We start from the raw sequence: 13,344 nt of genomic DNA, 5'->3' as shown, positions 1-13,344 counted from the left end.
GCCAGAATGGAAAATCTCCCTCACAATGAAAATCTTTTATGCTTCAAATCTCTCTGACTTAAGGAAAAACTAATCAATTTAAGGACTAACATGATCAGAGCAGACCCATCTAGTAATTGCCCTTTAGATTAACTCAATGATTTGAGACTTCGATTGCATCTGCAAAATCCCTTTTGCCAAAAAATGTAATATAATCATAGGAGTGACATCTCATCATACTCATAGGTTTCATCTTTAAACAAGAAGAGGTAATTATACAACTGTGAAGATCACAGGGGATCATCTTAAAATTTTGACTACCACAATCTTCCTTAGAGGCCTTAGATGACGCCCATATAAATCAAGGGGACTTGAAACTTAAGTGTCATTAGCTTCAAGGTGAATTCGCCTCTGTATTGCCTCCACCCATTCACTTTTTCACTTCTCTCATGCAAACGTATTCTGCTAATGAGCTCCTAACCTCACTCATATATAATCATGGATTAGTTACTGCTTACAATTCTAACAGAAGTTACATGATTAATTTCCTGACATTATTTTTGCTACTAAGATTTTTAGCATTTACCTAAATTGGAGATGATAGATATTCACATCTTGGGCCCTCGATAAAAGGCAATCATAATGATTTCTCATATATCTACTGAAGTATGGCAGGTTAGGAGAGACACATAGGCCAACCGCAAGGTAAGAGTACTTGTTCTCTAGAAACCTCTGGGAATCTCACCATTACTGAGTATCTGCCATGTGCCGCACATGGGGACAGCCGCTTTATGTGGGCTGACTGGCTAACCCTTATGTCCCCTCACCAGTGTGTGAGGTAGGGATTGTTACCAGGTAAATAGTAATTTGGAGAAGATAATGTCTAGTGTGGACTGGAGTTATTAGAGAAAAATTCAAAGAACAGACTGGGTGTGGTGGCTCACGTCTGTAGTCTGTAATCCCAGCACTTTGGGAAGCCAAGGCCAGCAGATCATTTGAGTCCAGGAATTTGAGACCAGCCTGGGCTACATGGCGAAATTCCATCTCTACAAAAAATACAAAAATTAGCTGGGCATGGAAGCATGTGCTTGTAGTCCCAGCTACTCAAGAGGATGATTGAGCCTGGGAGGTCGAGGCTGCAGTGAACCATGATCATACCACTGCACTCCAGTCTGGGTGACAGAATAACACCCTGTCTCAACAACAACAAAAAAATCAAAGAACAAGTAAATGACCAAATTAGTCTGCTTTATTTCCTGATTTTGCCTTGTCATTCTCCTGTTCTCAAAGGCCCTGGCATTTAGGGCTCTTCAGAATCCAGCCTGAATCACAGATTCTAAGCTTTGTCATTCATTTTTCCTCTGCTCCAGCTAAAAGAGACCCCCACCATCAGTGTGACTCAAACATACTTTACACTTCCTTCTGTGCCCTTGCTGTGCCATTCTCCTAGAATGAGTAATTCTGCTAGGCCTGGTAGTATAAAGGTCTATATCACATAAAGGCTTTGCTCCTTGGGATATTTCAGGAGCATGAAAATAGACCACAGGTTCTGAGAACCGTTAGTAGCCAGCCCTATGACAGCACAGGCTTTACATCATCATGTTTCTGGAGAAAACCAGCTAGTATAGCTCAGGCTAGTGAAAAAGGGATGCTTGCAGAACATGACACACCCATTTGTTTGTAGTTTGTGTCTGGTTTCATCACTTGATATAGTACATACAGATCTCCTTCACTTTGAATATCTTTGACCTCTTCTCCTATCCTTTCTTACACGTCCTCTTATGCTATAAGTTCCTCGATTTCTTTTCATTTGTTCTTTGGATAAATACACAAGGACTTTTCTTCTGCCAAACTGAACATAGGTAGAAAAATTCCCTTCCTACCGAAGAAGATTATAGCCAGCCTTGTCCACAAAAGTCTCCTAAGCTGACATGCATTAAAAAATGTCTCCCCTGTAGAATAAACACAGAGCAGAGACATTCCCAGTGCTGTCACAGAAAGAATGTTAAGACCATAATGACATACAAGATACACAATGAATTGCTGCATTCAATCACTTGCACTGTCATCTCTTATATATTCTTTGCATTGCATATTTGCCACTTTTTTATTTTTATTTTTTTTGAGACAAGGTCTGTCTCTACTGTCCAGGGTGGAGTGCAGTGGTGTGATTTTGACTCATTGCAACCTCTGCCTCCCGTGCTCAAGCCATCCTCCCACCTCAGCCTCCTGAGTAGCTGGGACTACAGGCACACACTACCACGCAAGGCTAATTTTTGTATTTTTAGTAGCAATAGGGTTTCACCATGTTGCCCAGGCTGGTCTCAAATTCATGAGCTCAAGCGATCCACCTGCCTCGGCCTCCCAAAGTGCTGGGATTACAGGCGTGAGCCACCACACCCAGCCACATATATGCCACCTTAGTAATAACCAACCTAACACCAGTTTGAATGAAGTCAATTGTCATTTTTGCACATCCCTGAATTCAGAATAGATTTTGAAAATTTACAAATATATACATAAGTGCTATAAGGATACAATTCTATAAATCTACTGTTGAACTCATTTACAGATGAGAAAACAGAAACAAAAAGAGATGAAATAAACTGCTAAATTCATCTAGCAGGAAAAAGGTTGGCCTTGGAACCCACATCTATGGATTCCCAGCTGTTCTTATTTTACTCCATAATGAGCCTGTATAATTCAGGAGGGCCTTGCTCTCAATGTTGCACCTTCTAAAGTTATTCAGAATGTGTTTCAAGGTTCGGCCCCTGTTGAAAGCTGCTCCCAGGAAAGTGGGCTCCAGCCACGTTTGCATACTGCCAGGGTGGGCAGCACAGATCTTTTCAGGAAGCAGGAGCTGAAAGTATCAGAACGCAGGCAGGACAGCCATGCAGGAAAGGGAGAAGGGAGTTAGCACTGGGCAGCTGCTGCCATGACAACAGTATCCAGGGGGTGTGGCCTTTCTCTGGGGGATCTGAGAAAGCCCAGGGTGGGTTTCTTCTCCAGGGATTCCTGTTGCTGGGGAGGCTGCACTTCTGTGGCAGGAACAGAACCCTCCTTCTTTGCGAGTCCCCTTGGTTTCACTTTGCAGGCCCTGTCTGCCTGGACTTGAGGAGTTCTGCCCTCTCCAGCCCAGACGTTCCCTCTGTGGCTGCTGCCTCTGCATTCTTTCCTAATGGCACTAATGGCAGTACCTGCTCTCAGACCTGGACCTGTTGACTGCAGCAGGCCCTGTCCAGCCTGTGACTCTCATGGGCTCCTCCCCTACCCCTGCCCCAGGGGAAATTCCCAAGTAGGAAAAGCAATGACAGGAGCCTCCTCTTTTCTGTTTCTGCCTGTGGCCTCATCCTAACTGGGGCCCAAACACACACACACACACACACACACACACACACTGTATATGCTCAGAGTAACAAGGAAGGGGCTCTGAGGAAAGGCCAGGTAGCAACTCAAGCTGTTGGAAACGTACAAGGACAGGGAAGGTGGGTCCAGACCTGGGCTGAAGGGAGACAGTACCAGGCTTGGGTCTGGGCAAGACTTATGCTGTCATTCACTCCCTGGAGGCTCTGGAGGTGTGGCAGCCTCCTACCCCTCTCCTTGCCTCTATTTGCATCATTTTTCTCCCTAAATGGTGGGGGCGAGGGCTGTGGTAGAACCATGAATGAGGTCCCTTCTAGCTCTAGGAAGCTATGATTCCATCGTGCCCACCATGCTGAGGAGGGATGAACACCATTTGGCCTGAATGGGGACCACCTGCAGACTGTGGCTGCTGCTGCATTTCCCAGAATCCAGACAAGCTCAGAGCACATAACTCATTCTATTTTGGCCTTCCCTGCTGTGCTCCAACACAGTCACAGCTTAGTCTTCACTTCAGGTACTCTTTAAAGGGCCAATAACAACCTCAGTCTGAGGTATGGGTGACAGAGGTTGGAACAGAGGAGATGAGTCAGTCCTTGATATTTGGTTCAACAAACATATATTGAATGAGTGTTCTGTCCTTTGTCCTGTATATGCTGATGAATAAGCCACAAATGTCTTTGAGCAGTTCATTAACTTATAAAGGATATACATGCTTAAACATAGTTTTAGTACATGATAATGAAGTCTAAGTCACCGGATACTTCAGGAGAACCAGGAAAGAACACTTAACTCATCTGAGAGTAAGTGGTACTTTAGTTGAGTTTTAATGATTTAATAGAATTTTGCTGAGCAGAGAAGGGAAGGGCAGTCTAGACAGAAGTAGCAGCATCAGCAAAGGCATGCAGGCTTAGCCTCAAAGGCTTGACTAGACCAGACCAGTCAAAGTCTCACAAGAATTCAGATGACAAATGTCCATTAGAGAAGCCAGTTTGGCAGTGCCCCTAAATGCACCTCATGACCCAACAATTCCACTTCTAGTCACCAATCCTAAGAAATACACAGATATACAAGGAGGCATGAACAAGAAAGGCCATTTCAGCGTGTTTATAACAGTAAAGCACTGGAAACCTAAATCTCTATAATTAGGGAATACATTGCAGTATGTTCAGAGTCTGCAATAGGTGCAGCAGCTACATATGAACTAGATCTATAGGTAATAATATGGATAGATTTCCAGGACATACTATTGAATGAAAAAAAGAACATTTTGCTGAATGAAACATAGGATAGGATGCCATTTACGTAATGTCATTTAGAGCCTATGACTATATATGTATTTATATTTATGTATGTGTAAGTATATTATATATGTATACATGGCATCTATTAATATGTTTTTATTATAACATATAGTATATAAGTATATATGTACATATATACATATATACACATATATGTGTGTATATATACATATATACATATATATACACATATATATGTGTGTATATATATGTATGTATATAGTTTCTTATGTGAGTTACTGCTCCATGTACTTTGCCCATTTTCTATTGGGTGAGCAGAGTTTTTTACTTTTAAAAGATATTATGTCTAAATCTATAATATATGTTTAAATATTTCATTACAGTTTCTCATGTGCCATTTAATATTCTTTGAGATACATTTTTTACTTTAAATATTTTGAAAGATAATTCTTTATTAATTTTTCTGATTGCAGAAGCATGCTTGTAGCATAAAAATTCAAACCCTATAACAGTGGGGCATGAGAATAGCAGAGTGTTCACAAATTTTCTGACATCTAAAAGATGAATGCCACTAGATTTGGCAATGAGAGAGAAAGTGTGAAATTTTAGGAGCAAGCAAAGCATAATGGTTAAAAGGTCAGACTTAAGAGTCAGACAAATTTGAGTTCAAATAAAGTTCCTCCATTGACTGGCTGTGTGACCCTGTGTAAGCCACCTAAACTTTTCGGGGCTTCAGTTTTCTCATCTATAATAAGCAATACCTTCCTAAAAGTGTTAAAAGGATTAAAGGAAACTCCAAGTATGAAGTATCTGTCCCAAAGCAGGTGCTTGACCATTTTAAATTTCTTTCCTCAACTCCAAACAAAGCCAGTGATCTTTCCCTTGCCTTATGCTTTTTGGGGAGCCCATCCATACATGTGGCCCTCAGACATAGGTCCCTGAGACCAAAGAGCACAATTTTATTTTCATCATTGACATCACCATCAAGAAGTGTGGTTGATGGAATACTCATACAGATGAATGTCATGGCACATATGTAAATAAAAGTAAGAGAATAAAGAAAATAGGCTGGGCGCAGTGGCTCACGCCTGTAATCCCAACACTTTGGGAGGCCAAGGTGGGTGGAAAACGAGGTCAGGAGATCAAGACCATCCTGGCTAACACAGTGAAACCCCATCTCTACTAAAAATACAAAAGAAAAAGAAAATTAGCCAGGCATGGTGGCATGCCTCTGTAGTCCCAGCTACTTGGGAGGCTGAGGCAGGAGAATCGCTTGCACCCAGGAGGTGGAGGTCGCAGTGAGCCGAGATCGTGCCACTGTACTCCAGCCTGGGTGACAGAGCAAAAAAAAAAAAAAAAAAAAAAAAAAGAAAAGAAAACATATGCTCTGTAAGATATAATTACATATATAAAAATGAATACATAAAGGCATTTAAATGTATTATATATGTAATATAATATATATGTTTACTTTATAACAAAGTAAATGGATAGAATACATAAAAGGAGATATACACACACAATGTAAGTACATGCTCCTCAATATTGGGAACTGTAGGCATCTTCTTCTTACACTTTTCTGCATTTCCATATATTTTCTAGTAGAAATATATAACTTCTACAATCAGAGAAAAAGTGAAAATAGTATAAGACAATTCAGCTTAAACACACATACATATGCACACATAGATGCACACGCTTATCTTGACTTGAGACAAGGAAAAACCACCTAACTATATGTTGCTTCTTGGGCCACCTCAATCCCCAAGAAGAGCCTGATACTTGTGTGGTTCCAGTGTGAGTCAGGGTTGAGACATTCCCTTCCCAAATATCAAGCCTCTCCACCAGCTCTCCTCTCATAGTTTCTCTCCTCCCTGCTCTCCTTTGTTAGCCATGTTTGACCCACAATCCTGACTCTGATCACCGGGTGGCACTTACCTCAATATGTAAACATTCTCCTGAAACAGGTATTATCTTGGTAAAAAGAAAGTTTAAAGAAAAAGTTTATTTTTTTTACACACAGGATATGAACCAGTGTGTTCAGTAGAATCCCACTTCTGTTTGAAAAATACATATTCATAGAAAAGGATAGAAGAGTATACAATTGCATTCTTCATTCATTCATTTAATTCAACAAATACTCCTGGGCCACTTGCTATGTTCCTGGTATCATAAGCCAAAATTGATATTTCCATTCTAATCTCTTTTCCAAACTTCAAACACATATCTAACTGCCTACTAGACATTTCTACCTGGATTGAGATAAAAATGAGAAAACTCACTCAAATCCACAAACCAACAAGAATACCATACTCAGCAAGTCTAAATCAATGATGCCCTAAGCCCTGAAAAGCTACTATCTAAATTGGTGGCCGTGTGGTAGAGTGGGAAGAACACAGAATTTGATGCAAACAAATCTGAGTTAGAACACAGGATTTGCCTCCTATTTATCTGCAAAATATTATCCTTCATTTGTAAAAATAATTATTTGTTTAGATTAGTGTTTCGTAATGGGGGAAGGAGTTGTCTCTGGTCCTTTTCTAGGGACCCTGAGCCTGATCCCATCTATGCTGCTTCACCACTCCTGGGAGTTTGCAGTCGTATGCATTGTTTCCTAAGAGCAGGGGGACCCTGGTTAGCAGAGGGCTCTCTCTCCATGGTCCTGGACCCTCAATGCTTTCTGCTCCGGAGTTGGCCAGGCAAGTTGCTGTTTGGACATGTGATAGAGATACCAGCCTTCTGTGTGGACAGGAAGGTGGGGAGAGGCTGTCTTAGTCCATTTTCTGCTGTTATAACAGAATACCTGAGACTGGATAACTTTTTTTTTTTTTTTTTTTTTTTGAGACAGGGTCTCTGTTGCTCAGGCTGGAGTACAGTGGCACCGTCATGGCTCACTGCAGCCTCGACTTCCTGGGCTCAAGCAATCTTCCCACTTCAGCCTCCCAAGTGAGTGGGACTACAGGCACACTCCACCATGCCCAGCTTTTTTTTTTCCTATTTTTTGTAGAGATGGCATCTCACTATGTTGCCTAGGCTGGTATTGAACTCCTGGGCTCAAGCGATCCTTCTGCCTTGGCCTCCTAAAGTGTTGGGATTACAGGCATGAGCCACCGTGCCCAGCTCTAGGATAATTGATAAAGAATAGAAACTTATTATCTTACAGTTTTGGAGGCTGGGAAGTCCAAGATCAAGGCACTGGCATCTGGGATGGGCCTTCCTATTGCATTCTTACACGCAGGAAGGCAGAAGGCAAGAAAGAGGAACTCTGTGTTTTCATGAGGCAGAAGAATGGGAGAGAACCCACTCCTGCAAGCCCTTTTTATGATGGCATTAATCCATTCATGAGAGTACAGCCCTCATGACCTAAAAACCTCCCATTAAGCCCCATATCCCACATCCCCTGTTGCATTGAGGATTAAGTTTCCAGCATATGAATTGTGGGAAACACGTTCAATCATAGCAGAGGCCCAGGGGCTCTGGATGCTGCTGACCCTCCACCACCAATGCCTTAAAAAGCATCTTCACACCAATTCACAGCTTGACTGTCCTGGCTCCCAAGTCGTGAGCTGGGCCTGCAGTGCATGAGGGTTTTCAGATAGGAGGCAACACCACTTTTCTCCTGAGTTGTAGGACCACATGTCTTTGCAAGTTCCCTTTATCTGGGGTCTCCTCTAGTTCAGGGTCTGTGCTGACTCAGACATCAAATATAGTGCACCAGGCAGACACAGAGCTAAAGTCTTTGCAGAACCAACCAAACAGGCCAGGGCACATCAAGGCCCTTCTGGGACTCTGAGCAAGGTGGGTGGGAGAGGGATGGGTGAGGTTTTGTGTGCTGTCTTAATTCTATGTTTGCCCCAGTCTTCTTGGGGGCTACTTCACTGGACTCTGAGAGACGGGTCAGCCCCTTCTGCTTCAACCCCAAGTTACCTGGTCAGATCTGTACAGACATCTGCTTGCTCAAAGACTATCCCAATGAATGTTTCCTGTCAGGACACTTTGGGGCTTTATCTCCTCCCCTACAAAATGTTCCCTAAAAGAGAGAGGGAAAAGGAGGGAAAGGCAAAGTGCTCTGACCTGCAATAGGGCAGTCAGTTCTCCTCCTCCAGGTGTGTCTGTGCAGGGCAGCTTGGCCATTAGCCTAAGAGGGCCCTGTGCCTGCTGTAGGCTGGAGCAGAGAAACAAAAGTCAGACCCACCCCAGAGGGGAATGTGGCCTGAGTGAGCCCTTCCACCTCCTGCCTAAGCACCACCACTCTTAGCGTTAGGGGGATGGATTTATCCTCTCTTATAAAACTAATTCCAGTGAGCCTGGAACCTGATCTCACTCCAGCCAGAATTCCAGTTTTACCAGCACCCATCAGGCTGTCATTGGCCTTGAAGAGTGTTCTGGAGACATGAAGACCTCCTCCAAATGGCATTGTATGGTAAAAATATAAAAACAAAAGAAAGCCAAGGGTACAGGGCTGGCTCAACCGTTTTTTTGAGATCATTACTAAAGGAGAACTTTGAATTTACTTCTGATGCATTTTACTCATATTGAAAGTATGGAATGTAAGGTATTATATAACATCAGTCATGGAAAATACATTTCTATTAAGTTGTCTCTTAGGTTTTAATTTTGTGTAAGGTCTTGCTTTGCTGTAAGAAATCTAAATTTTATGTTATAAAATTTGTATGACTATCTTTAGTTGCTTACTTAAAAATATGCTTGGATGAGGCTTTCACCCTTTTAATTCTGACACAATTATCTGTATTTTCTTCCATTTACATCATAGTTTATTCTCAATAAAATCAGAAGTATACCATATATGCCAGTGGCTGTCCAACTTTTAGTGTGCTAATTTATGAAAAAGCAGATTTACTGGGTCTGGCGTAGAAAACGGGTTTCTGCATTTTTTATAAGGGAAACACTGATATATAAAATATTTAAATAATTTTAATGTTGAATTTCAGTTAACAATCCCTCCTTCACCACGTTCCTTTTGGAATTGCAAATCATAGCTCTAGAGAAGTCAACACAGTAAAGCTTATATAGTCAATCAAAGAGAATCTCAGAATTCATGACTGGGTCATGATTTTTAATCATTATTAACCACTCTGTATCTCTAGCACTAACAGAATCAATAAAACAAAATCTTAGGATTTATAAAGGTAGCTTAGTAGAGAAATCATATCTAATATATATGTTTATGTACATATACATATATAGTACTTTAATGTTGTAGAAAGTAGTTTTGCATGTGTCTTGCTGATATGGAGCAGTGTAGAAGGGGGAATGTCTTAGTTTGAGCCTAAGCATTATCTTCCTCTTTAATTTATACAAGTTGAGCAAGTCAGCTGAATTGGCAAGGCAAGCTTGCCAGAAGCCCCTGAGAGAGAACTCATCTTAAGGCAAGTTAGACAATTAAAATGATAGTTATCCTTGGATATTTGGGAGGGAAGTTCCAATTCTGAGTACACAGCATGGTGTCTGGCTCAATAATTTTGTCTCCTAGCCCAGGACCTAGTGGAATCATGTTTGAGTCAGGTGGAGAAAAGGTGGAATCATGTTTGAGTCCAGTGGAGAAAAGGAAGGTCCTAAATGGAAAAAAAAAAAAAATGGAAGAACTATTTTACTAAGCATTTTTTTTTTTTTTGAGACGGAGTCTTGCTGTCTCCCAGGCTGGAATGCAGTGGCGCGATCTTGGCTCACTGCAAGCTCTGTCCCCCGGGTTCAAGCCATTCTCCTGCCTCAGCCTCCCGAGTGGCTGGGACTACAGGCGCCCGCCACCACACCCGGTTAATTTTTTTTTTGTATTTTTAGTAGGGATGGGGTCTCACCGTGTTCCCCAGGATGGTCTCGATCTCCTGACCTCGTGATCTGCCTGCCTCGGCCTCCCAAAATGCTAGATTACAGGCGTGAGCCACCGCGCCTGGCCTTACTAAGCATTTTTTAAAGACATTGAGGTCTAAGCAGCATTGAGATGGTAGCCTCCTAGCTAAGTGCAATATTAAAGCTGGAAGAAGGGCATTCATATATCTGCAGGAGACACAATTCAGCTTGGGCCCACCAGGGACTCCAGAGCAATCAGTGAGGCTTTGTACCTTAAGCAGTCCAGCACGTCAGCAGGGATGAGAGCCAGTGGAAGGATCAGGACCCAGGAGAAGGAGCAGCTGTGCCTAGCAGATACGGTAGGTATCTGAGAGTACAGCAGGACATGAATAGAATGTGGCACTCACTTGGAATCTCACCGGAATTGTTTGTGAGCACAAGTGAGATCTCCTTTGGGTACCTTCCCTATGTCTGCAGGGAATCTATAGGGGTTGGGGTCCTGCCTGTGCAGGTGGAATAAAGACCCCGAACATAGCTCACACAACCTTTTTCTCATCTGGTCCCACAGTAGCACTGTAAAGCAAGTATTATTCCTATTTAAATGAGAACAAAATGACTATTAAATATAATCCATATCTGGCTAATATTTGTGCCTAAGAGATTCAGAAAAAAACATAGGATTCACTTTTTTTAAAGTTCTGACAAGTATTTATTAAGTGCCACATTGTCGTTATAAGCTGATTGACAGTTTTCTTCAAAATTGTGTGATTTTTTCATTATATATTTTTGCAACACAAGTAAAACGTTTGTCCTGAAAAAATGAGAAATTCAGATAAAACAAAAATTTAAAAAATCACCTATTATCTTACCACACAACCACTGTTATGCCTTTGAAGTCTATACTTTTAGCTTTTTCTTTGCATATTAATATATAAATATACATTTTTTTTACAAAAATGGGATACAATATATACCATTTGAAAATTGCTTTTTTCGTTTCACAATATATAATGTACATCTTTCATGCAAATGTGTAGGGCTCATGACTGAAAGAGGGAAACTTGTAGATTTTAGGGGGAAACCTCAACTTTAAGCGAGTTACATGCTAAACATCTAAAATAAAGCCTCACAAAAAGTTAAAATTCAGAATATGGGAAAAGGCATTAAGAAAATGCAAACAGAAAGTCCAGGTGGCAATGGCAATACTATTAGCAGGCAAAACAGAATTAAAGGCCGAACACATTAAATAGGATAAGGACGGCTCCGTTTTGCCTTCCAGTGCATTATCATCAGTTTGTTTCTTACTCTTTTCATCTCTTCTAGCTCATCTGCTGCCTGTATCATCTCCTCATTGCTTAAATTTCTGCCATGTATGTCCCCTCTAAATTGCGGGCGAGAACGAGCCAACCTTTCTTTAAAGCTTCCTTCTTCAAGCTTATGTTTTCCTACTCCACAAGGAGGCTGCTCCATGGGAGGGCGCCCCTCAAACAGGTCCTTCCTGGAAAGACCCTCCTGCGGAGGGCGCTCCTCCGAGAGGAGCATCTCAGGCAGGAGCTCAGGCAAGAGCTCCTCAGGAAAGAACTCCTCCTCCGAGGACTGCTCCTCCGAAGACTGCTCCTCGGGGGACTGCTTTTCGGGAGAGTGCTCCACCGGAGGCCTCTCCTCATCGGTCTTGGGCGCGCTCTGCGGCTCTTCTTCATTTTCTTTGCGTGGTTTGTCCATGTTGGGAATTTTCTTCTTCAAGCACAGTTATTCTTAGGAGACAAGAAAGGCAGAATAGAGTCAGAATACTAAGCGGCTGGACTAACACCCAGGCCGTGGGTTCCAATACCTGCCTTTTCCTGATTCGGGGGCCAGGTCCTCAACCTTGCGCTTTCCCAGAGGCTCTCCGGCTCTCCCGACTCCGCCGCTTCCCGGTCGCCCCCTCCTTCCCGAAAGCCCACCATTTTCCCAGCAGGCTTTGCTACAGGCCTCGCCCGCAGTGACAGGGGCGGGACAGTGCGGCCTGCAGACTCCATGCCTTTCGGCGTCCACCCTCGCGCCCCAGTCCCGGCCCACTGCGTACCCCTTCCCTGACCTGGACCTTTCCGGGCCGTGTGCTCCTAGTCGTCCTCTCCTCGAGGTGCCCCGCTGTGACCAGCAGACCTGCACACAGACGCAAGACAGGGTAGGGGGCGGGGAGTGGGGAGGAGGGACGGACTGACTGACACCCCCCACCCCCCACTTTCTGGGCACCAGCCACTGCCTGCACGCTCCCCTAGCTCTCGGGTTCTCTTTTCGTCTCAGCCCCTGCGTCAAGCTTCGTCCTCCGTGCTCCCACCTCCCCACCCCGCAAAGCTTGCCATTTCTTTTCAGATGAGAAGTGGAAGCGAAGCATTTTTAGAAACTATTTCCAAATGTCTGTACCCCCCTCCCGGGGGACGGGGGAGGTACTCGCCTCCCCACCCCGCCCCAAAGACCACCATATTTTGCACAGAAATGTGGGCGCGGGGGGCGGGGCTGGAGCTTAGGGAAAGGCCTGGACTCCGCCATCCCGATTCTGTCAACCCCATTCCCCGGGTTACTAGGCAGCGCCGACACTCACACCGATTTAAGAGGGTAGAGGGAACTTACTTCTTCTGCTTTCCCTCTCGACCAAAGGGTAATAGGGAGATGGTGGACAGGCAAAAAAAAGACCGGGACGAGAGGGACTTGGGCACATAGAGGCTCCTGGTCACGTGAGGGACGCGCGTCACTGCCGAACTCAGATCCCCAGTTACCACTTTGATCTGCGGCCCTGCCGCAGCCACCTGCTAGTGCCTGCTAGTGTTCTCTGACCCGAGACACACCAGGCATTGTCACTCACCTCTCTTTGTATTTGCCTTTTCCTGGTTGCCAGAGACGGTCCGCATCTAGTCTCGGGTAGTATTGCCTCTTCCTCTGTGCTACT

The 13,344-nt window shown here is 43.5% G+C and overlaps 1 protein-coding gene across 3 annotated transcripts, besides 3 other annotated features; it reads right to left on the bottom strand.

Annotated features, from left to right (window-relative positions):
* Window positions 1-11,100: 11,100 nt before the first annotated feature.
* On the bottom strand, window positions 11,101-13,338 carry TCEAL1 (transcription elongation factor A like 1). 3 transcript variants are annotated; one of them, NM_001006640.2, is made up of 3 exons: window positions 13,261-13,338; window positions 12,493-12,560; window positions 11,101-12,169 (listed from the first exon to the last, which is right to left on the bottom strand). In NM_001006640.2, exon 3 carries the CDS (start codon window positions 12,135-12,137, stop codon window positions 11,658-11,660), a length of 480 nt encoding a protein of 159 aa, NP_001006641.1. In that variant the 5' UTR covers window positions 12,138-12,169; window positions 12,493-12,560; window positions 13,261-13,338; the 3' UTR covers window positions 11,101-11,657. The 3 variants fall into 3 exon arrangements, with proteins under 3 accessions (NP_001006641.1, NP_004771.2, NP_001006640.1); NM_004780.3 differs by lacking the exon at window positions 13,261-13,338 and adding an exon at window positions 13,029-13,079 and having other exon boundaries at window positions 12,481-12,560; NM_001006639.2 differs by lacking the exon at window positions 13,261-13,338 and adding an exon at window positions 13,029-13,079.
* Window positions 12,125-12,194: an enhancer, noted in NCBI's record as "active region_29823". NCBI's record gives its function as "activates an Ori minimal core promoter by ATAC-STARR-seq in GM12878 lymphoblastoid cells {active_cell/tissue: GM12878}" and the evidence as "EXISTENCE:reporter gene assay evidence [ECO:0000049][PMID:35858748]".
* Window positions 12,219-12,513: an enhancer, noted in NCBI's record as "tiled region #5968; HepG2 Activating non-DNase unmatched - State 1:Tss, and K562 Activating non-DNase unmatched - State 1:Tss". NCBI's record gives its function as "activates a minimal TATA promoter and a strong SV40 promoter by Sharpr-MPRA in HepG2 and K562 cells {active_cell/tissue: HepG2 | K562}" and the evidence as "EXISTENCE:reporter gene assay evidence [ECO:0000049][PMID:27701403]".
* Window positions 12,265-12,314: an enhancer, noted in NCBI's record as "active region_29822". NCBI's record gives its function as "activates an Ori minimal core promoter by ATAC-STARR-seq in GM12878 lymphoblastoid cells {active_cell/tissue: GM12878}" and the evidence as "EXISTENCE:reporter gene assay evidence [ECO:0000049][PMID:35858748]".

The sequence above is a fragment of the Homo sapiens genome, chromosome X (genome assembly GCF_000001405.40).
Source record: "Homo sapiens chromosome X, GRCh38.p14 Primary Assembly".
NCBI classification, from domain to species: Eukaryota; Metazoa; Chordata; class Mammalia; order Primates; family Hominidae; genus Homo; species Homo sapiens.
Note: the sequence above shows the minus strand (reverse complement) of the source record. Positions and strands in the feature narration are given on the sequence as shown.